Source organism: Homo sapiens, chromosome 19 (genome assembly GCF_000001405.40).
Source record: "Homo sapiens chromosome 19, GRCh38.p14 Primary Assembly".
In the NCBI taxonomy this organism is placed as follows: domain Eukaryota; kingdom Metazoa; phylum Chordata; class Mammalia; order Primates; family Hominidae; genus Homo; species Homo sapiens.
In genome coordinates, this window is record NC_000019.10 from 7,157,717 (window position 1) to 7,181,139 (window position 23,423).

The 23,423-nt window shown below is 47.7% G+C and overlaps 1 protein-coding gene across 4 annotated transcripts in view, besides 1 other annotated feature; it reads right to left on the minus strand.

Annotated features, from left to right (window-relative positions):
* The window catches only part of INSR (insulin receptor), a 182,150-nt gene that overhangs the window by 45,452 nt on the left and 113,275 nt on the right, over window positions 1–23,423 (minus strand). For all 4 annotated transcript variants that reach the window (XM_011527989.4, NM_001079817.3, XM_011527988.3 and 1 more), the window contains exons 4-9: window positions 16,867–17,015; window positions 14,574–14,718; window positions 12,821–13,035; window positions 10,252–10,378; window positions 8,438–8,688; window positions 5,316–5,483 (exon numbers count right to left, since the gene is read on the minus strand). In XM_011527989.4, coding sequence (XP_011526291.2) covers window positions 5,316–5,483; window positions 8,438–8,688; window positions 10,252–10,378; window positions 12,821–13,035; window positions 14,574–14,718; window positions 16,867–17,015 — 1,055 coding nt within the window. The remainder of the gene's footprint in view (window positions 1–5,315; window positions 5,484–8,437; window positions 8,689–10,251; window positions 10,379–12,820; window positions 13,036–14,573; window positions 14,719–16,866; window positions 17,016–23,423) is intronic.
* Window positions 21,479–21,578: an enhancer, noted in NCBI's record as "active region_13870". NCBI's record gives its function as "activates an Ori minimal core promoter by ATAC-STARR-seq in GM12878 lymphoblastoid cells {active_cell/tissue: GM12878}" and the evidence as "EXISTENCE:reporter gene assay evidence [ECO:0000049][PMID:35858748]".

Below are 23,423 nucleotides of genomic sequence, written 5' to 3' on the forward strand. Positions count from 1 at the left end.
TGGAGAGCCACCTCCCCTGCTGCCACTCTGCTTGGTGCCTGGTGACTGCTGAGCAAAGGAAATTCCATTTTCTCTCCTCCCCTTAATGCCTCGAGGATAGACAATAAGCTCTAAATCGTGTATCAAGTACCTTCCTGTGAATGGTGAGTATCCACTCGGAAACCCAAGTATTTACACAGCTTTAAAAGCCTATGAGAGACTGGAAAATACTTCTTAAGTTTATAAATAGACATAGAATACCCTGCCTGGGTTAACTCTGATGGGAGCTAGTTACAGCATTACAGATGGAAAAAAAAATGTAGAACTGCCTGAATAAGGGAAGCTCCTGGTATTATTATTATTATTATTATTATTATTATTATTATTATTATTATTTGGAGAGGAAGGGATATTTGTTCAGGCACAGGTATCATTCCTGATACCTGCTACCTCTTCCTAGAATCCACTGCATGAAACATGGTACACTGTGGTTTTCCTGAGATTAGAAAAATGAAGCATAATGGGCCAGGCGCGGTGACTCACGCCTGTAATCCCAGCACGTTGGGAGGCCAAGGTGGGCAGATCACGAGGTCAGGAGATCGAGACCATCCTGGCTAACATGGTGAAACCCCGTCTCTACTAAAAAATACAAAAAATTAGCCGGGCGTGGTGGCGGGCGCCTGTAGTCCCAGCTACTCGGGAGGCTGACGCAGGAGAATGGCGTGAACCCGGGAGGCGGAGCTTGCAGTGAGCCGAGATCACGCCACTGAACTCCAGCCTGGGTGACAGAGCGAGACTCCGTCTCAAAAAAATAAAAAGAAAAGAAAAGAAAAATGAGCATAATGAAGTCTCTAGAATCAGATTCACAGAGACAGAAAGGAGGATGGTGGGTGCTGGGGCTGGGGGAAGGAGAAGGGGAGTGAGTGTTTCATGGGGACAGAGTTTCAGTTTGAGAAGATGAGAAAGTTCTGGAGATGATGGTGGTAATGGCCGCACAACCACGGCAATGCACTTAATGCAGCTCAACTGTGCTCTTAAACATGGTTATAATAATAAATTGTATGTGATGTATATTTTACCGTGGTAACAACATATACACTAGTGATATTAACAGGAAGGGTTTGTAAGCTTATTTATTTGTGTGTGTGTGTGTTTGAAATTGTGGAAAAATAAGCATCACATAAAATATACCAATTTACCATCTCAATTTTTGTTTTGTTTTGTTTTTGGTGGAGTCTTGCTCTGTTGCCAGGCTGGAGTGCAATGGCGTGATCTCGGCTCACTGCAACCTCTGCCTCCCAGATTCAAGCGATTCTCCTGCCTCAGCCTCCTGAGTAGCTGGGATTACAGGCACCCACCACCACACCCAACTAATTTTTGTATTTTTAGTAGAGACGGGGTTTCACCATGTTGCCCAGGCTGGTCTCGAACTCCTGGCCTCAAAGTGATCCACCCCACCTCGGCCTCCCAGTGTGCTGGGATTACAGGCGTGAGCCACTGTGCCCGGTAAATCTCAACCATTTTAAGTGTGCAGTTCTGTGGTATTAAGTGCATTCACAATGTTGTGCAATCATCACCACCATCATCTCCGGAACTTTCTCATCTTCCCAAACTGAAACTCTGTCCTCAACCCGTCCCCTCCGCAGTCCCTGGCACTCCCCATTCTACTTTCTGTCTCTATGAATCTGAGGACTCTAGGGACCTCCTAGGAGTGAAATCACACAGAATTTGTCCTTAGTGAGTTTCCTTTTAATGATATTAACTTTGTGACAATTACAAATAAAACCATGTTTAAATGGTCCCTTGGTAATTACAGATTTAGACTTTCGGAATTAAAAAAAAAAAAAAGGAAGCTTCGAGTGACATTACTGGTGGCAGCTCTCACGGGTGGTTCTGGTTACTTGAATGCAGGGCCAACAGCTTACAGCGGAGCTGATGACTGGACTCGCCCTGGAGTTATATAAAGCATCAGAGCAGATAAATCACGTTTGCAACCCTCGGCTCAGGCGGGGATGATGTCACACACATACATATAGCATATGAGCTTAGAGCTGGGACAGCTCCCAGAGATCATCTGTCCTCCCGCCCCTTCTCCCAAAAAGGAGGCAGACGGTGACTTGCTTGGGAACTTAGCCAAAGCCCTTCAGCAGGTCAGGGCCAGAGCCAAGAGCAAATGTTGAGCTCCTGGCCTCAGCCACACCTCGCCAGTGGCCCCCTGGCCTTCTCCTCCAGGGTCATGGACCGAGGATATCACTAACAGAAAATATCTCAAGAAAAATACATCAAGATGCACAAGGAAACCAAAACTAAAGAAGGAAATGGGCCCAGCGCAGTGGCTCAGGTCTGTAATACCAGCACTTTGGGAGGCTGAGGCAGGAGGATCGCTTGTGGTCAGGAGTTCGAGACCACCCTGGGCAACATATCAAGATCCCCACCTCTAAAAAATTATTATTATTTTTATTATTATTATTTTTCTTAGATGGAGTTTTGCTTTTGTTACCCAGGCTGGAGTGCAATGGTGCAAGCTCGGCTCATTGCAACCTCCACCTCCCGGGTTCAAGCGATTCTTCTGCCTCAGCCTCCTGAGTAGCTGGGATTACAGGCCCACGCCTGGCTAATTTTTGTATTTTGAGTAGAGACGGGGTTTTGCCATATTGGCCAGGGTGGTCTCAAACTCCTGACCCCTGGTGATCCACCCGCCTCGGCCTCCCAAAGTGCTGGGATTACAGGCATGAGCCACTGTGCCCGGCCTAAAAAATTATTTTAAATAATTAGCCAGGTATAGTGTCTCAGGCCTGTAGTCCTGTGTAGTCCAGCTACTCAGGAGGCTGAGGCGGGAAGATCGTTTGAGCCCAGGAGTTCAAGCCTGCAGTGAGCTATGATTGTGCCACTGCACTCCAGCCTGGACAACAGAGTGAGACCCCATCTTAAAAAAGAAGAAGAAAAAGAAAAAGAAAAAAGTGACAGATGCTTCTCCAGTTTGGTGGGTTCTAAAAAAACCCAATGTTAAAATAATTTTAGGCTGGGCGCGGTGGCTCACGCCTGTAATCCCAGCACTTTGGGAGGCTGAGACGGGTGGATCATTTGAGGTCAGGAATTCAAGACCACCCTGGCCAACATGGTGAAACCCCGTCTCTACTAAAAATACAAAAATTAGCCGGTGTAGTGGCAGCACCTGTAATCCCAGCTATTCAGGAGGCTAAGGCACAAGAATCGCTTGAACCCAGCAGGCGGAGGTTGCAGTGAGCCAAGATCAAGCCACTGCACTCCAGCCTGGGTGACGGAGTGAGACTCCGTGTCAAAAAAAAAAAAAAAGAAAATAATAATAATAATAATTTTAAACTAATGTATACACACTAGTTTGAGACTTTAAATATTATTCCATTTTCCTTCAGATGGATGGAGGTCTATTAAGTAAACAAGATTAAGAAAAATTTGTCATTAAGTTTTATAATAAAATTATTTATATAATTATTTATAAATTTTATTTATAATTTTTATACAATAAAATGATTGCACAACATTGTGAATGCACTTAATGCCTTTTTTTTTTAATTTTGTATAATTTTTTTTATATATATAGAGACAGGGTCTCGCTCTGTCACCCAGGCTGGAGTGCACTGGAATAATCATAGCTCACTGCAGACTTGAACTCCTGGGCTCAAGAGATCCTCCCGCCTGGGCCTCCCAAGTAACTGGGACTACAGGTGTACACCACCATTTTTTTAAATTTTTTTAGAGATGGGATCTTGCTATGTTGCCCAGGCTGGTCTCAAACTCCCGGCCTCCAGTGATCCTCCCACCTTGGCCTCCCAATGTGCTGGGATTACAGGCATGAGCGCCAAGCCTGGCAGACATTTTTAATTGAAAGTATGGGGTGGGGGATATGAGATAACCAATTCTTGCTGCCTTCGATCCTTACAACTAAAGGATCTCAGTGGGGCCAAAATCCTTCCCTGACTTTGTCAATAACCATTAGTTGTGTTTCTAGCTTTGCACAGAAGTCTTGCGTGGGTTAACACAGCTGCATCCCCATCAGTGTGAGGAGGGATGAAGAGAACAAGGAAGGCAGGGAGGGAGAAAGAAGGAGAGACAAGAGGAGAAAATCCCAGAGGGAAATGGTGCCAAGACATGGGAAAAATCTGGTTTTGACACAAGTCTTCAGTGCGTGCTTGTGTTACGATGTTTAAAAATGTGTATGTATGAGCCGGTCATAGTGGCTCACGCCTGTAATCCCAGCGCTTTGGGAGGCTGAGGGGGGTGAATTGCTTGAAGCCAGGAGTTTGAGACCAGCCTGGGCAATATAAGGAGACTCCATCTCTACAAAAAGAAGTTTAAAAATTAGCCAGGGCCAGGCGTGGTGGCTCATGCCTGTAATCACAGCACTTTGGGAGGCCGAGGCGGGTGGATCATTTGAGGTCAGGAGTTCAAGACCAGCCTGGCCAACATGGTGAAACCCCATCTCTACTAAAAATACAAAAATTAGCCGGGTGTGGTGGCAGGCGCCTGTAGTCCCAGCTACTCAGGAGCCTGAGGCAGGAGAATCGCTTGCGCCTGGGAGGCAGAAGTTGCAATGAGCCGAGATCATGCCACTGCACTCCAGCCTGGGTGACAGAGTGAGACCCTGTCTCAAAAAAAAAAAAAAAAAAAAAAATTACCTGGGCATGCTGGTGCACACCTGCAGACAATTGTGGTGTTCCAGCAACTCATGAGGCTGAGGCAAGAGGATTGCTTGAGCCTGGGAGGTGGAGGTTGCAGTGAGCAGAGATCATGCCACTGCACTCCAGCCTGGGCAACAGAGTAAGACCCTGTCTCAAAAAAAAAAAAAAAATAGGCCGGGTGTGGTGGCTCATGCCTGTAATCCCAGCACTTTGGGAGGCCAAGGTGGGTGGATCACCTGAGGTCACCTGAGGTCGGGAGTTTGAGACCAGGCTGACCAACATGGAGAAACCCCGTCCCTACTAAAAATACCAAATTAGCCGGGCGTGGTGGCGCGTGCCTGTAATCCCAGCTACTCGGGAGGCTGATGCAGGAGAATCACTTGAACCCGAGAGGTGGAGGTTGCGATGAGCCAAGGTCGCGTCATTGCACTCCAGCCTGGGCAACAAGAGTGAAACTCCATCTCAAAAAAGTAAATAAATAAAAAATAAAATAAATAAATAAATAGATAAAAACATGTATGTGTGTTTTCATATGAGATAGAATGGAGTGTGTGTGTGTGTGCCTTCCGACACTGAGACACAGGAAGAGATAGCTGCTTCCCTAGAGGTGAAGCAAAGTGCATCAGACACACGTGTGCAAACCCCACCGATCCTAGCACAGCTGCCTGCACTCACCTTTGAGGCAATAATCCAGCTCGAACAGCTCACTGTCTTCCGCCTGCCTCTCCCAGAAAACCAGGTAGTGGGTGATGTTGCCATTGGGGTCGGAGGGTGGTTTCCACTTCAGAATAATCTGGGATGATGAGTTAGACACTGAGATTGGATCCAGGGGCACAGAGGGGTCTGTCAGGGAGAAAGGAAATGGGTCCATCATGAGAAACAGTGTGCAAAGAAAGCTGGTGGGAGGATGGCGGGGGACACACAAGTTAAAGACATCATGAGGGCACCCATCCCAGCATTTTGGGCGGCCAAGGCAGGCGGATCACGAGGTCAGGAGATCGAGACCATCCTGGTTAACACAGTGAAACCCCGTCTCTACTAAAAATACAAAAAATTAGCCAGGTGTGGTGGTGGGCGCCTGTAGTCCCAGCTACTTGGGAGGCTGAGGCAGGAGAATGGCGTGAACCTGGGAGGCGGAGCTTGCAGTGAGCCGAGATTGCGCCACTGCACTCCAGCCTGGGTGACAGAGCAAGAGTCCGTCTCAAAACAAAACAAAACAAAAAAGAAAAAAAAAACCACCACCAACCAACCAAACAAAACCCAAAAAACCCAAAGTAACGGAGGTGGCCGAGGGAGCTGGGGATGGGGAGGGAGTCCAAACACCTGGGAGCTAGAAGTTTCTGAAAACTGTAAGTCTTTTGGTGTCACTAAAAGATACAGGATGAATGAGCGGGGATTAACTGAAGAAGATAGGGTTGATTTATAAAGTTTGAATTCGAGGCCAGGCACAGTGGCTCATGCCTGTAATCCCAGCACTTTAGAAGGCCGAGGTGGGCGAATCATCTGAATCACCTGAGATCAGGAGTTCGAGACTACACCTGGCCAACATGGTGAAACCCTATCTCTACTAAAAAAAAAAAAAAAAAAAAAAAATTAGCTGGACATGGTGGTGGGCGCCTGTAATCTCAGCTTCCTGGGAGGCTGAGGCAGGAGAATCTTGAACCTGGGCAGAGGTTGCAGTGAGCTGAGAATGCGCCATTGAACTCCAGCCTGAGAGACAAGAGTGAAACTCCGTTAAAAAAAAAAAAAAAAAAAAAAAAGCTTGAATTTGAGCCTACAGGACGGGGTTTCTCACCCTTAGTACTATTGGCTTTTAGGACTGGATAATTCTTTGTCATGAAGGAGGGTGCATCCTGTGTGTTGCAGGACATGGAACAGCCTCTCTGGCTTCCGCCCACGAAATGCCAGTGGTTTCATCTCCACAGCTGTAACAACCAAAAATGTCTCCAGACATTGATTGGCAGCTGTTCCCTGGCAGAGCAGTTAACCTCCTTTGGGAACTACTGCTATAAGAGAAGCACTTAGGTTTTACAAAAATATAATTAGGCCGGGCCCAGTGGCTCATGCCTGTAATCCCAGCACTTTGGGAGGCCAAGGTGGGCGGATCATTTGAGGTCAGGAGTTCCAGAGCAGCCTGGCCAACATGGTGAAGCCCCATCTCTATTAAAAATACAAAAATGGCTGGGCGCGGTGGCTCATGCCTGTAATCCCAGCACTTTGGGAAGCCGAGGCAGGCGGATCACCTGAGGCTCGGAGTTCGAGACCAGCCTGACCAACATGGAGAAACCTTGTCTCTACAAAAAAAAAAAAAAAAAAAAAATTCGCCAATCGTGGTGGTGCATGCATGTAATCCCAGTTACTCGGGAGGCTGAGGCAGGAGAATCGCTTGAACCCGGGAGGCAGAGGTTGCAGTGAGCTGAGATAGGGCCATTGCACTCCAGCCTAGGCAACAAGAGCGAAACTCCATCTCAAAAAAAAAAAAAAAAAAAAAAAAGGCTGGCATGGTGGCTTATGCCTGTAATCCCAGCACTTTGGGAGGCCAAGGTGGGCAGATTGCAGGTCAAGAGATTGAGACCATCCTGGCCAACATGGTGAAATCCCATCTCTACTAAAAATACAAAAATTAGCTGGGCGTGGTGGCACGCCTGTAGTTGCAGCTACTTGGGAGACTGAGGCAGGAGAATCACTTGAACTGGGACGGGGAGGTTACAGTGAGCTGAGATCACACCACTGCACTCCAGCCTCAGTGACAGAGTGAGACTCTGTCTCAAAAAACAAAACAAAACAAAACAAAAATTAGCCAAGTGTGCTGTAATCCCAGCAACTTGGGAGGCTGAGGCAGGAGAATCACTTGAACCTGGGAGGTGGAGGTTGCAGTGAGTCCAGATGGCGCCACTGCACTCCAGCCTGGGTGACAGAGTGAGACTCCATCTCAAACAAACAAACATAATTAAATTGCTGTGAAATACTCCAGGCCAAAACAAACAACAAAACAAAAAGAAGTAACAAGTGGGAAGAGGGAACAGGCGTCGAGATGAAACAAAAATGACCAAAGGCTGAAGCTGGGAGGCGGCTAACTATGGGGTTTTGTTCTGTGTTGTGAATATTTGACAATTTTTCATAATAGGATGAAAAATATAAATATTCCCATCAAGTGGCTTGTTGCTACTGCCTCGTCTGAAACTATAAGCCTCAATACCCAGCTCCTTTAAAAGCCAATAACTGACTGGGCAAGGTGGCTCACACTTCTAATCCCAGGACTTTGGGAGGCCGAGGCAGGAGGATCACTTGAGGCCAGGGGTTCAAGACCAGCCTGGGTAACACAGCAACGTTCTGTCTCTACAAGAAATACAAAAATTAGCTGGGTATAGTGGTGCATGCCTGTAGTCCCAGCTACTCAGGAGGCTGAGGTGGGAGAATTACTTGAACCTGGGAGGCGGAGGTTGCAGTGAGCCGAGATCATGCCATTGCACTCCAGTCCGGGTGACAGAGTGAGACTTCATCTCAAAGAAAAAAAAAAAAAAAAGCCACACATGGTGGTATACTCTGGTAGTTCCTTCTACTTAGGAGGCTGAGGCAGAAGGATTGCTTGAGCCCAGGAGTTTGAGGCTGCAGTGAGCCATGATCACCCCACTGCATTGCACTCTAGCCTGGGTGACAAAGTAAGACCCTGTCTAAAAAAAAAAAAAAAGCCAATAACCATATCAAGGAGCATTTTATACAACCTCACTGCATCAGCCTATTAAAAGCAAGAGGTCTGATTCACATACGAATTCACATTCCCAAGACACACTCACTGGTGGCATCTGTCTGGACATAAATGATGTCACTCTTGGCCCCATAGGTCCGGCGTTCATCCGAAAAGGTGACCAGGGTCTTCACAAAGATGGCATACTGGGTCCAGGGCTTGAGACCCCGCATCAGCCACCCTGGGTGGTTCTGTGATTTGGGGTCGTTGGACCTCAGGGGTGGGTCAATGTCTACCACCGTCCAACTGTTGGAACCACACGCATCCTGCCCGTCGAACTCCGTCACATTCTGATAAGGGCTTTCAAGACAAAACAGCAGAAGGCAGTTACCCTTACAAGACCGTCACACTGAGTGCCGTGCAGATGAGGCCTGGGAAGTTACATCCCATAGGGTCACATGTTACTCACCCAACAATCTAATGCCACAAGAAAAAATAACTCGGGAACAGCCAAAGAGAAAGGAACTGTCAACCCTGACATCTCAATGAAAAAACACAGCTTGGGCATCCCTTATTCAAAACACTTGAGACTTGGCCAAGTGCAGTGGCTCACGCCTGTAATCCCAGCACTTTGGGAGGCCGAGAATGGCGGATCACCAGAAGTCAGGAGTTCGAGACCAGCCTGGCCAACATGGTGAAACCCCGTCTCTACTAAAAATACAAAAATTATCTGGGCATGGTGGCAGATGCTTGTAATCCCAGCTATTCAGGAGGTTGAGGCAGGAGAATTGCTTGAACCCGGGAGGCAGAGGTAGCATCAGCTGAGATCGCACCACTGCACTCCAGCCTGGGCGACAAAGGGAGACTCTGTTTCAAAAACATAAATAAATAAATAAATAAATAAATGCTTGGGACCAGAAGTGTTTTGGATTTTGGATATTTTGGGGTTTTGAAATATTTGCATTTTACTAGTTAATTTGCATTGTACTGGTTCAGCATCTCTAATCTAAAAATCTGAAATCTGAAATGCTCCAATAAGCATCTCCTTTGAGTATCAAGTCGGCCCACAAAAAGCTTTGGATTTTGGAGCATTATAAATTTCAGATTTTCAGATTAGGGATACTCAATCTGTAATAATAGTAATAGCAGGAGCTCCCTCACAAGTTACTGATAAGATTAGACTGTGTGTCAGTGCTCAGCAAGGCACAAGGTAAATCTTGAGGGCTAGAACTATTATTAATATTACTACTGGTCAGGTGCGGTGGCTCATGCCTGTAATCCCAGCACTTTGGGAGGCCAAGGTGGGCAGATCACCTGAGGTCAGGAGTTTGAGACCAGCCTGGCCAACATGGCAAAACCCGTCTCTATCAAAAATACACAAATTAGCTACGTGTGATGGTGTATGCCCATAATCTCAGCTACTCAAGAGACTGAGGCAGGAGAACTGCTTGAACCCGGGAGGCAGAGGTTGCAGTGAGCCAAGATCTGCCACTGCACTGTACCCTGGGCAACAGAGCAAGACTCTGTCTCAAAAAAAAAAAAAAAATTGGGGATAAAAAAGAAAAATAGATAAGCAATACATTTGATAACATCCACTTAGTAGACTGAGCTCCTGACTACTAAGGATGTCTGATGAGACATACACAGGCAAGGCAAAATAGAATATTGCCCCAGGAAACTGGCCAGTCCGGGCTTCTATGGGAAAGCTGTCTGCTTCCATTTTAGGCATTTGATAAAAGCAGACACTATTGACTTTGCATGCCATCGACTGGTGAGATTGTAAAAAGGAACCTAAGATATTTATTCCAGGAGGAGGAGGGAGATAGACAGGAACCCAAGAGGGGCAGATTGGAGCACAAACGTAGCAAGCACAGAGCCAGCCAGCCCTCGCCTCCTCAGCGTCTCTCTAACTCTTCTACTTACGCCTCTTTGTAGAACAGCATGAACCCCAAGAGGTCTCGGAAGTCGGGGGGCCAGTACGGCTCCCATCTCAGCAAGATCTTGTCAAAAGATGTCCGAATGTAAGAAAATTTAAGTAACTCATTTTCACCTGGAAAAGTTAAAACAAAAGGCAAAAATGAGCTATTTCAGTGTAGTTTCAGACCAAAGCCTGGGACCCCCACACTTCCTGGAGGGACCGTGAGAAGGCAGAGGTGACGCTGCTATTCCCTTAAGGGTCTCCTCCCCATGTGCCTGGCTGAGTATGAATGGGGGAAGATTCAAAGGTAAGAGCCAGTTTTGCAACTTGGCCACTCACACTCACGTAAGCCAATGACTTGACTCAGCCAGACAGTCAACTGAATAAGCGCAGTCTGTACCCGCGCAAGAAGGACAACCGGCCAATAGTTATTGGAGGAAGGGATTTCCAAGGGTGATGTTTGTCCTGACACAACGTTGTCTCGCATATGGACTTGTAAGACTGACCTGGAAGGAGGTGCAACTCCAGTGCAAATAAACCTATGCCAAGTGAGTTTAGAGACCCTGCAGATCATTAGACATCGGAGAGACGCATCTAAGTAATTCTCTCTGCCTAGAAGACAAACCCTCTCCTAAACCTCACCCCAACCTCGCTCTCTCTCCTTGCACTACATTTTTTTTGAGACAGTCTTGCTCTGTCACCAAGGCTGGAGTGCAGTCCACCTACCGGGTTTAAGCAATTCTCATGCCTCAGCCTCTCAAGTAGCTGGGATTACAGGCACCCACCACCACGTCCAGCTAGTTTTTGTATTTTTTTTTTTTAGTAGAGATGGAGTTTCACCACATTGGCCAGGCTGGTCTCGAACTCCTGACCTCAAGTGATCTGCCTGCCTCGGCCTCCCAGAGTGCTGGGATTCCAGGCGTGAGCCACCATGCCCAGCCCTTGCACTACATTTTGACATAAGTAACTAACTCCCCATGAAGGTATCCCAGAAGCCCTTGGCAGCTCACTGTTTAGAATCTGTCAGGGAAGTGCAGTCAGCAGGCAGCCTGCAGCTGCAGAAACTGCAGGACCTGCTGTAGCATTCCAGCCAAAACCTGACTCTCCCTGGACAGCCCCCACCTATGACTGAGCTTGGTAGATGCCTGGCCGTCCCTTTGCAATGCAGAACTTCCCTGCAGACAACCGTGGCCTTGATCTCTTTCTGGGTTTGGCCAAGACTCAGGGATGCATCACCATCTGAGACTCTCCCAGCCCTATCCTCCCTCCTTCCCGCTCTCTGTTCACAGAGGTCAGACACACGCTATTGTCAAAAGGCTCTTCATGGCTGAGCGTGGTGACTCACACCTGTAATCTCAGCACTTTGGGAGGCCGAGGCGGGAGGATCACCTGAGGTCAGGAGTTCAAGACCACCCTGGCCAACATGGCAAAACCCTGTCTCTACTAAAAATACAAAAAAAAAAATTAGCCGGGCTTGGTGGCATGTGCCTGTAATCCCAGCTATTCTGGAGGCTGAGGCGAGATAATTACCTGAACCCAGGGGAAGGAGGTTGCAGTGAGGCAAGATCACGCCACTGCACTCCAGCCCTGGGTGACAGAGCAAGACTCTGTCCCAAAAAAAAAAAAAAAAAAAAAAGAAGCTCTTCCTCTGTTTCATATTTTATGAATATTACCCTCAATACATTTTCTGCACTCCTAACTTCAACTTGGCAGTCACTTCCCAGGAGATGCAGACTGACATAGGTATTTTACTCAACTTTGAAGTCTTCAGCATCAGCCTGATACACATATAAGAAGGTGTCATCCATTCATCCATCATTCATTCATCCATTCATTCAGTGCTTGTATGACTTCATCCCGTATCCGGTACTATATGGCACAGTAAGCATAGTGATAATATTAATAAATGTGCAGAATCTGCCCTCAGTAAGAAAGCCTATCACACAGTGAGTTGTTAGAGGGAAGTAATACCCCCTGGGGGTGACTGTGATGGATGAGAGAGGACAGCCACATTATCTGGTTTGTGGACCACTTACAGCAGGGGTCCCCAGCCCCTGGGCCACAGACCAGTACTTATCCATGGCCTGTTACGAACAGGGCTGTACAGCAGGAGGTGAGTGATAGGTGAGCAAGTGAAGCTTCATCTGTATTTACAGTCACTCCCCATCGCTTGCATGACCACCTGAGTTCTGCCTCCTGTCAGATTAGCGGCGGCATTAGATTCTCACAGGGGTGTGAACCCTATTGTGAACTGTGTACATGAGGTACCTAGACTGCACACTCCTTATGAAAATCTAATGCCTGATGATCTGTCACTGTCTCCCATCACCCCCAGCTGGGACCATCTAGTTGCAGGAACACAAGCTCAGGGTTCCCATTGATTCTACATGATGGTGAGTTGTACAATTCTTTCATTATATATTACAATGTAATCATAATAGGAATAAAGTGCATAGTAAATGTAATGCACTTGAATCATGCTGAAACCATCCCCACCCACCACCAGTCCATGGAAAAACCATCTTCCACTACACCGGTCCCTCATGCCAAAAAGGTTGGGGACCAGTGACTTACAGGATGCCTGGTCCCCATTGGTCTTCAGGGCAATGTCGTTTCTCTCCTGGCGCCCCTTGGTTCCTGAAACTTCTTCCATCTTGTGGATTTCTGACAAGCAGAGTTTGGGGTTATAGTGGAAGAAGAGTTTCCCCTGAGTGATGGTGAGGTTGTGTTTGCTCCAGTCCCAGAGCTGCCTTAGGTTCTGGTTGTCCAAGGCATAGAAGGAGTAGTTCCTATGGAAAAAACACACACATCTAGTCATTCAACGGCTGGTCTTCTACAACTCCAAGATGGTGTGGCCATGCTCGGAGTTGATCTTGTTCAGTGCTACGTGCCTAATCCTCTCCACTTGCTTGGCACATACTCAACACATATTTGTTGAATGTGGATAACAGAGGAAGTTGAGGAAGTTTTCATGGCCAGGAAGGAGGCTCAGCTCAGTCTTGAAGAGGGGTGGTGAGTCTGTGATGGACTGAGGAATAGGTTTTGCAGAAACCAATTTCTGCAAATAGGGGAAATACTGATAACACAGAGGCACCTAAGCTGAGTTCAGGGAAGAGCAAAGTAGCCTGTTTTGGCCAATAGGTGACAGGAAATAGCTGTAGTTGCAATGGACCAGACCCTCTAGTATATTGCATGCCAGACCAAGACCAAGAACATGTGGCCATCCTTAATAAGGAGAAAGGAGCCATTGAAGGTTTTTGTTTGTTTGTTTGTTTGTTTTATTGAGATGGATTCTCACTCTGGTGCCTAGGCTGGAGTACAGATAATATAGTCTAAACTATATTGTTTAGACCACCTTCTCAAGTCACTTACCAGCTCATGTTGATTAACATGTCCTTTTGTCCCTTTCCCCATTTGCTGTCTGTTCTACAGATGTGAGGCTGGGGCTGAGGCAGCCATCTTGTGACCATGAGGAGCACAAAGATGGAAAGAATCTGGGTCTTCCACAGACCTCCTGCCTATGAGTCAATCTTGATCTAGCTAGTTTGAGTTTCTGCTGTTTTGCTAATAGAGTTTCTAGGACCTCAAGGAGAAGGTTGGAATATACTGGAATATACTGAGATGGAGTCCATCCCAGAAATTAGGATGGACAACCGGGACTAAGAGGGAATGTTCATTTTATGCATGCCAAACTCTACTCACAATGCAGCCCAAACAGCAAATTTAGCAAAAATTCCAGCCTGTACCCTTGGAGGATGGGCACCAAGGTTGGGCTGCTCCCACTTTTGTTTCTCAAGAATGACTATAAAAAAGCTTTTACAATTTTTGGCTGGATGGACCTTTAGGCACATTCCAAGTTCTTTTTTCCCGAGGTTTTGCCAGATATACTTTTATTTGTTTTTTATTTGTTTTTATTTGATTTTTAAAAAATCCTTAAGTTTTTCCTTTTCTTTTCTTTTTTTTTTTTTGGACAGAGTCTCACTCTGTCACCCAGGCTGGAGTGCAGTAGTGTGATCTTGGCTCACTGCAACCTCTGCCTCCCAGGTTCAAGCTATTCTCCTGCCTCAGCCTCCCAAGTAGCTGGGATTACAGGCATGCACTATCACACTTGGCTAATTTTTGTACTTTTAGTAGAGACAGGGTTTCACCATGTTGGCCAGGCTGGTCTTGAACTCCCCGCCTCAAGTGATTCACCCACGTTGGCCTCCTAAAATGCTGGGATTACAGGCATCAGCCACCACACCTGGCCAAAAAAATCCTTAAGTTGTTCTAATACACGAACTTCCTAGTTAGCACTCAGGCCATACACACAATCAGGCCCACGTACCCAATTTCCAAGGTCTCTCCTCGAATCAGACGTAACTTCCGGAAGAAGGAAAGTGACACCAGAGCGTAGGATCGGCGGATTTTTAGATACCCTGAAATTTCTTCAATGAGGCCGAGGTTGGCTTCTAGCTCAGCTGCCAGATTGTCTAAGGAAAGGAGAGAATATCCAGTGGGTTTCTATAGACATATTTCAATCTTCTCATGATTCTCCATGGTGAGAAGATAACCCTCAGGCTGCAAATGACTGGACATACCCAGCTCAAAACTCATCATGCTTAGAACACAATCTGAAGTCCTTAGCATTCCTTAAATGGGTCAAGCATACTTCTGCCCCAGGACCTTGGCACTGGCTGCGTCTGTTGCTCAGAATATTATTCCACCATATATCTCCTTGGCTTGTTCCATCATCATCTCAAACCCTCCTTTCCCATACCAGAGACTTCTCTAAAATAGCAACCCCCAGCTTGGTGCTGGTGGCTCATGCCTGTAATACCAGCACCTTGGGAGGGCGAGGCAGGTGGATCACTTGAGGTCAGGAGTTCAAGACCACCCTGGCCAACATGGTGAAACCCTGTCTCTACTAAAACTACAAAAAAAAAAAAAAATAGCAACCCCTGTTAGTCTCCATTTTAGAGGTTGACAAATGACAGCCCACTGGCCAAATTCTACCTGTTTTGTAAATAAAGTTTTATTGGAACAAAGCCATGCCTGCTAGCTGACATGGGTCTATGGCTGTTTTCATATTACAACGGCAGAGTTGAGTGGTTACGGCAGAGACTGCCCGGCCTGCCAGGCTGAATATATTCATGAAAGAGCCCTTTATAGGGAAAAGTTGCCCATTTCCATTCCACCTATTACCCTGCTGCACTTCCCTTCACAGCACAGACCACAACCTGACCTTACAATATCTGTCGATTTACTTATGCGCAAAAATCCATCAAGGTAAGGACTTTCCCTTACTCACTGTGAGTATTCAGTACATGTTCGCTAAAGAAATAAACAAAGGAATGCCTTTTTGCCTGACATGGTATTTCTTTTCTTTTTTTTTGAAATGGAGTCTTGGTCTATGGCCCAGGCTGGAGTGCAGTGGTGTGATCTCGGCTCACTGCAACCTCTGCCTCCCAGGTTCAAGTGATTCTCCTGCCTCAGCCTCCCAAGTAGCTAGGACTACAGGCATGTGCCACCGTGCCCAGCTAATTTTTGTATTTTTAGGAGAGACAAGGTTTCACCATGTTGGCTGGTCTCAAACTTCTGACCTCAAGTGATCCGCCCACCTCAGCCTCCCAAAGTGCTGGGATTACAGGCATGAGCCACAGCGCCTGGCTTTTTTTTTTTTTTTTTTTTTTTTTGAGATGGAGTCTCACTCTGTCGCCCAGGCTAGAGTGCAGTGGCGCGATCCCAGCTCATTGCAACCTCCACTTCCTGAGTTCAAACGATTCTCCTGCCTCAGCCTCCTGCGTAGCTGGGATTACAGGCACGCACCACCAAGCCTGGCTAATTTTTTTGTATTTTTAGTAGAGACAGGGTTTCACCATGTTGGCCAGGCTGGTCTTAAACTTCTCACCTCACGTGATCCACCTGCCTCGGCCTCCCAAACTGTTGGGATTACAGGCATGAGCCACTGCACCCGGCCCTGAGATTTATTTCTGAAAACACAGCCTGCAGTTCTGCAATAGGGCATATTGCTTGATTGTTAAAAACGACGATTCCAAAGCCAGGTGGGGTGGCTCATGCCTGTAATCCCTGCACTTTGAGAGGCTGAGGCAGGAAGATTGCTCGAGCCCAGGAGTTTGAGACCAGCCTGGGCAACATAGTGAGAACCTGGCCCTGGAAAAAAATTAAAAAAAAAAAAAATTAGCCCGGCACAGTGACACCTGCCTGTACTCCCAGCTACTTGGGAGGCTGAGGTAGGAGGACTGCATGAGCCCAAGAGTTTGAGGCTACAGTGAGCTAGAGTTGCCCCACTGTACTCCAGCCTGGGCAATGGAGCAAGACCCCATCTCTAAAAATAAAAATAAAAATAAAAATAAATGTAAATGCAGATTCCTGATGCCCCAACTCCCAAAGTAGAAAATGAGAATCTCAAGGTTAGTAAGGCCAAGACTGAGCTGTTCATTTCAGGTTTTGAGGCAGACTCCCAGCATGGTTCTATCCATGGGGGAGCCACTGAACGACCATCCTAAAAGTGCTGTAGGAGCACGCAGCAGGGTCTGCACTGCTTTTCTTCCCCGCTCACAGCTCAGAGGGACATGGAGCCCAACAGGCACCCCCGACGCCCACACAGAGACACTCACTGCCTCCTCGAATGTTGATGATCAGACTCCCGTTGATGACGGTGCATCCTCGGAGCTCCTGGGCAGACGTCACCGAGTCGATGGTCTTCTCGCCTTCTAGGAGGTGGCACACCTTGGGACAGGGACCCAGGCATGGGGTGCACAGCAAGCTAAGGACGGAGCAGAGAGAGAGAGAAAGAGAAAGGGGAGGGGGGTGTCACGGTATCCAAGGTCCTTCAGACATCTCAGGCATCTTTCTGCCTGATATGGTATTTCTTTGTGTGTGTGTGTGTGTTTGTGTGACAGAGTCTCGCTCTGTTGCCCAGGCTGGAGTGCAGTGGTGCGATCTCAGCTCACTGCAACCTCTGCCTTCTGGGTTCAAGAGATTCTCCTGCCTCAGCCTCCACAGTAGCTGGGATTATAGGTGCCCGCCACCGTGCCTGGCTAATTTTTGTATTTTTGAGTAGAGACGGGGTTTTACCATGTTGGCCAGGCTGGTCTCAAACTCCTGACCTCAAGTGATCCACCCGCCTCGGCCTCCCAAAGTGCTGGGATTACAGGTGTGAGCCACTGCACCCGGCCCTTTCTGCCTGAGATGATATTTCTGAAAACACAGTCTGCCGATCTGCAATAGGACATATCGCTTGATTGTTAAAAATGTAGATTCTGGAGCCGGGCGTGGTGGCTCCTGCCTGTCATTCCTGCACTTTGAGAGGCCAAGGAGGGAGGGTTGCTTGAGCCTGGGAGTTCAAGATCAGCCTGGGAAGACAGCACACTATGCAGGGTCTCAAGTGATGGCATAAGTCCATCATGCTACGGCAAGGTCTTCTGACCTCAGCATTGTTCACATTTGGGGCCAAGTAATTCTCCACTGTGGTAGTGGGGGTGGCGTCCTATGCATTGGAGGATATTGAGCGGCATCCCTAGGCTCCACTCACGAGCTGCCAGTAGCATCCCTCCCACAAGTTGTGGCAATTAAAAATGTCCTCCAGGCCAGGCAAAGTGGCTCACGCCTGTAATCCCAGCACTTTGGGAGTCCGAGGCGGGCAGATCACCTGAGGTCAGGAGTTCAAGACCAGCCTGGCCAACATGGTGAAACCCTGTCTCTACTAAAAATACAAAAATTAGCTGGGTGTGGTGGCACGTGCCTATAATCTCAGCTACTCAGGAGGCTGAGGTAGGAGAATCGCTTGAACCTGGGAGGCAGAGGTTGCAGTGAGCCGAGATAGCACCACTGCACTCCAGCTGGGAGACACAGTCAGACTCCATCTCAAAAAAAAAAAAAGTCTCCCAACATTGCCAAAAGTCCCCTGGGGAGGGAGGATGCCAGATTGTCCCCAGAAAAGAACCACTGCCTTAAGTGAGAGAATTATGCCATTACCCTATGGTTGCAGGTCCTCTTGCTTTTACCCCAAAGTGACAAGACTCATATTTTACCCCAAAGTGATGGGACAGGACTCCTGCTGGACCCCACAGTGATGGGATTCACACCATATCCCATGGAGGCAGGACCATGATCTACCCTGTGCGTGACAGCAATGGGACTCATAGCATTATCGTGGCGATATGTTTTGGATCTGTGTCCCCACCCAAATCTCATGTCAAATTGTAATCCCCAATGTGGGAGGTGGGGCCTGGTGGGAGATGACTGGATCATGGTGGGCGGAGTTCTCATGAATGGTCTGGCACCATACCCCTTGGCAGTGTATAGTGAGTGAGTTCTCACGAGATCTGGTTGTTTAAAAGTATGTAGCACCAGCCGGGCATGGTGGCTCATGCCTGTAATTCCGGCACTTTGGGAGGCCAAGGCGAGCGGATCACTTCAGGCCAGGAGTTCGAGACCAGCCTGGCCAACATGGTGAAACCCCGTCTCTACTAAAAATACAAAAATTAACCAGGTGTGGTGGTGCCCACCTGTAATCCCAGCTACTGGGGAGGCTGAGGCATGAGAATTGCTTGAACTCAGGAGGTGGAGGCTGCAGTGAGCCGAGATTGTGCCACTGCAGCCCAGCCTGGGTGACAGAGTGAGAATCTGTCTCAAAACAAACAAACAAAACTATGTAGCACCTTCCCCCTTTCTCTCTTCCTTCAGTCATGTAAGATGTGCCTACCTCCCCTTTGCTTTCCGCCACGATTGTAAGTTTCCTGAGGTCTCCCCAGAAGCAGAAGCTGCTATGCTTCCCGTACAGCCTGCAGAACTGTCAGCCAATTAAACCTCTTTTCTTTATAAATTACCCAGTTCCATGTATTCTTTATAGCAGTGCAGAAATGGACTAATGCATGTGGTAATAAGAATGTGCCGTTACCTTGAGATGATGGGCCTGATGTGGCAGAACTGACAGTTACCCCAACGTGGCAGAATTCAACCTGCTACTCCAAGGAGACAGGACATTTGCTGTTCTGTGTGGGATGTGATGCAACTACGGCTGTAACATGACCCCATGTTTAATGGCAAGTGACTTGGGCAGCCTTTGGTTTTGCCAGCCTGCAGCCTGATGCCATCAAACTCACAGCCCCCAGGAGTCCTTTGGGAACCAGTCCTCCCCAACACGGGGTCTCTGAGATCAGTTCTTGGTTGCCAAAGCCCTTCTAGATCCAGGATGGGCACAAGATCCAAGCCAAGCTGAGCACCACCTTCTATTCCTGTGGGGGCTCAGAGGTGGTGGGTACAGAACTTAAGTCAGTGCAGTGAGGGTTTTGCTAGAACATGCTGGAAGGGGAAATTGTCTTCCTTCTGGAGTATCTAAGGGTTTTGCCATCTTGCTAGCATGGGGTGAAGGGTGAGGGAGAAGCTGCCTGATAACAAAACCAACAAAGAGGAAAATAAAGATGAAGGAGACTGATCAGGTACATCGCTTAAGCTTCTTGATACAGCTATACCTGAACCAACTCCCTGAACTTTTTGGTTATGGGTACCAACAAACTCCTTTAATCTTGGTTAAGTCAATGGTTTTTTTGTTTTGTTTTTGTTTTTGTTTTTTTTAAGATGGAGTCTCACTCTTGTTGCCCAGGCTGGAGTACAATGGCACGATCTCGGCTCACTGCAAGCTCCGCCTCCCAGGTTCAAGTGATTCTCCTGCCTCAGCCTCCCGAGTAGCTGGGATTACAGGCATGCACCACCATGCCCCATCTAATTTTGTATTTTTTTTTTTTTTTTTTTTTTTTAGTAGAAACAGGGTTTCTCCATTTTGGTCAGGCTGGTCTCGAACTCCCAACCTCAGGTGATCCACCCGCCTCGGCCTCCCAAAGTGCTGGGATTACAGGTGTGAGCAACCGTGCCCGGCCAGTTAAGCCAATTTGAGTTGGGGTTCTGGTGCATGAAACCACAAGATTCCCAACTGTTACAGTCTCCATTTCTTCATCTGAAAATAACACCACCAACGCCACAGCTTGTGATGAGGAACTCAATGAAGCATACCACAAAAGCACTTCGCACACAGAACGCAATTTTATCCGTTGCTACAAGGGTCATTTTTTATTGGTGGCATCCTTGTTGCTGCTGCTGTTGTTCTCACACTCCTGGGTATTCAACTCTTCAGAGTGATTTTTGTGACTGTAGGATCATAAAGTATGTATCTGGTCTTCATCCCGGTTCTTGGCACAGAGCTTCAAAAACCCTTGGAACTTTCTGAGTCACAGGAATGCTTTTGTTAGGAGTGTTAGGAATGTCGGGGTGACTTGTGGGGGGGGGGGTGCCTAGATAACATGAGGGTGGGGGGCGGTCACCAGAAAGAACAACCCTGTGATCAGAGGGTTGGGGCTTTTAGGACCTCCAGGGAGATGAGGGGGCTGGAAATGGCAGTGTTGAATCACATGGTCAATGATTTCAATCAATCACGCCTAAGGAATGAGACTCCAATTAAAACTCTGGATACTGGGCCGGGTGCAGTGCCTCACGCCTGTAATCCTAGCACTTTGGGAGGCTGAGGCAGGTGAATCACGAAGTCAGGAGTTTGAGACCAGCCTGGCCAACATGGTGAAACCCTGTCTCTACTAAAAATACAAAAATTAGCCGTGCGTGATGGTGCATGCCTGTAGTCCCAGCTACTCGGGGGGCTGAGGCAGGAGAATTGTTTGAACCTGGGATGTGGAGGTTGCAGTGAGCTGAGATTGAGCCACTGCACTCCAGCCTGGGTGACAGAGTGAGACTCCGTCTCAAAACAAACAAACAAACAAACAAAAACTCTGGACGCTGAAGCTCAGTAGTACTTCCCAGCTGGTGGACACACCAGTATGTCAAGAGGGTGATACATGCTGTTGCCACGAGGAGGCAATATGGAAATTCTGCATCTAGAACTCTCCCAGATCTTGCCGTATGTGTATCCTTTATAATAAAACTGTAATTGTATAGCAGGGTTTTTAAATTTGAGACAAGATCTTGCTCTGCCACCCGGGCTGGGGTGCACTGGCACAATCTTAGCTCACTGCAGCCTCGAACTCCTGGGCTCAAGCGATCCTCCTGCTTAAGCCCCTCAAGTACCTGGGACTACAGGCATGCACCCCCTCACCTGGCTAATGTTTTTAAATTTTTGTAGAGATGGGATCTCACTATGTTGTCCAGGCTGGTCTCGAACCTCTGGGCTCAAGTGAGCCTCCCACCATGGCCTCCCAAAGTGCTGGGATTACAGGCATGAGCCACCACACCTGGCCAGGTTTATTTTCATTCTGTGAGTTCCTTCTAGTAAATTATGAAACCCAAACAGTTTGTGGGAATCCCCCAATTTAGAGCCAGTTAGTCAGAAGTGTGGGTGGCTGGGGGATCCCCAAGATGCTGCCAGTGTCTGAAGCAAGGGAAATCTCATGGAGGGCTGAGCCTTAAACTTGTGGCGTCTGATGCTAACTTTGGAGGAGGATGGTGTCAGAACGGTGTTGCAAGTACACCCAGGTAGTGGCAGAACAGCTGAGGCAGAAACAAAATACTGACCAAATGTTTGACTTCTTTTATTGCCTCTATTCTTATTATGTGGCAGGCAATGCTCTAAGCCTGGAGTTGGCAAACAGTGGGCTGGGAGCCAAATCCAGTAGGCCACCTGTTTTTGCAAATAATATCCTATTGGAATATGGCCACATTTATTGGTTAGTACATCGTCTAACCCTGCTTTCACGCTGCAAAGGCAGAGTTAAGTAGCTCCAACAGAGACCATATGGCCCTGAGAGCTGAAAATATTTACTATCTGGCCCTTGGCCAACCCCCGTTCTCAGCTGCCGGTATACATGAGTGAACAAAGCAGATAATATGCTTTCCCAGTGGGAAATTATAAATGACCATGAGTTCTTTGCAGCCTCTCCCACCAAGAAGTGGAGTCTATGTTCCCACCTGTTGAATCTGGGCTTGGCCATATGGCTTGCTTTGGCCAATGGAATATTTGCAAACGTGATACAAGCTGAGGCTTGAAAAGCACTTGAACATTGAGGTCTGCCCTTCCTGGCTGCTGGGGTAAGAGACTTATGGAGAGAGACCCCCACTGACCATCAAAGACACAAGAGGCTCCCCTAAACCATCAGCCGTAGCTAAACAGGCCCAGGCCAGACAAACCTTCAGTCAACACATGAAATCATCAGAGCTCCTAAAGGAGTGTTTTAAGCCACTAAGCACTGAGGTGGTTTTGTTACGCAACAAGAGCTAGCTGATACACTCACAAAGCTTATCATCTGGTTGGGGAGAGTGAATAAATTGACAACAAAGGCTAGGTACAGTGGCTCAGGCCCTGTAATCTCAGCACTTTGGGAAGCCAAGGTGGGAGGATCACTTAAACCCAGGAGTTCAAGACGAGCCTGGGGAATATAGCAAGACCCCCAACACTACAGAATTTTTTTTTAGCCAGGTGTGGTGGTGTGTGCCTATATAGTCCCAGCTACTCAGGAGGCTGTGGCAGGAGGATCTCTTGAGCCCAGGGGGTTGAGACCACAGTGAGCCATGTGGGTGCCACTGCACTCTAGCCTGGGTGACAGACCAAGACCTTGTCTCAAAAAAAAAAAAAAAAGACAAAAATATCAGCTAGTGACAAATCGAAGAGTTAAAACTAAATGATGTGACAGAGAGTGCACGGATGATTGACTCAGACGGGAAGGATTTGCCAAGGAGGTGACTTTTAAGCTGCCATCTAGATGACGAGGGGAAAAAGTGGATCATTCTCAAATGCAGGGACAAGCATTATAGGAAGAGGGAACAGCTAATTGAAAGGCACAGAGGAAAGCGGATGTAGCAAGTTGCAGGAAAAGCTCCTGCGGTAACGACCACCACGGCCAGGGGGCACCGGAATGAAATGAGAATGAGAACTGGCCGAGCCCTCCCGATGAGGAGTTTGGATTCTGTCCATTGGTCTTGGGAAGCCACCGGAGGGTTTTAGGGAAGGACATGGCATATGATCAGATGACCACTTTTATTTTTTCTTTTGAGACAGAGTCTCACTCTGTCACCGAGACTGCAGTGCAGTGGCACACTCTCGGCTCACTGCGACCTCCACCTCCCGGGTTCAAGCAATTCTGCTGTCTCAGCCTCCCGAGTAGCTGGGATTACAGGCGCCCACTGTAATCCCACGCCTGGCTAATTTTTGTATTTTTAGTAGAGATGGGGT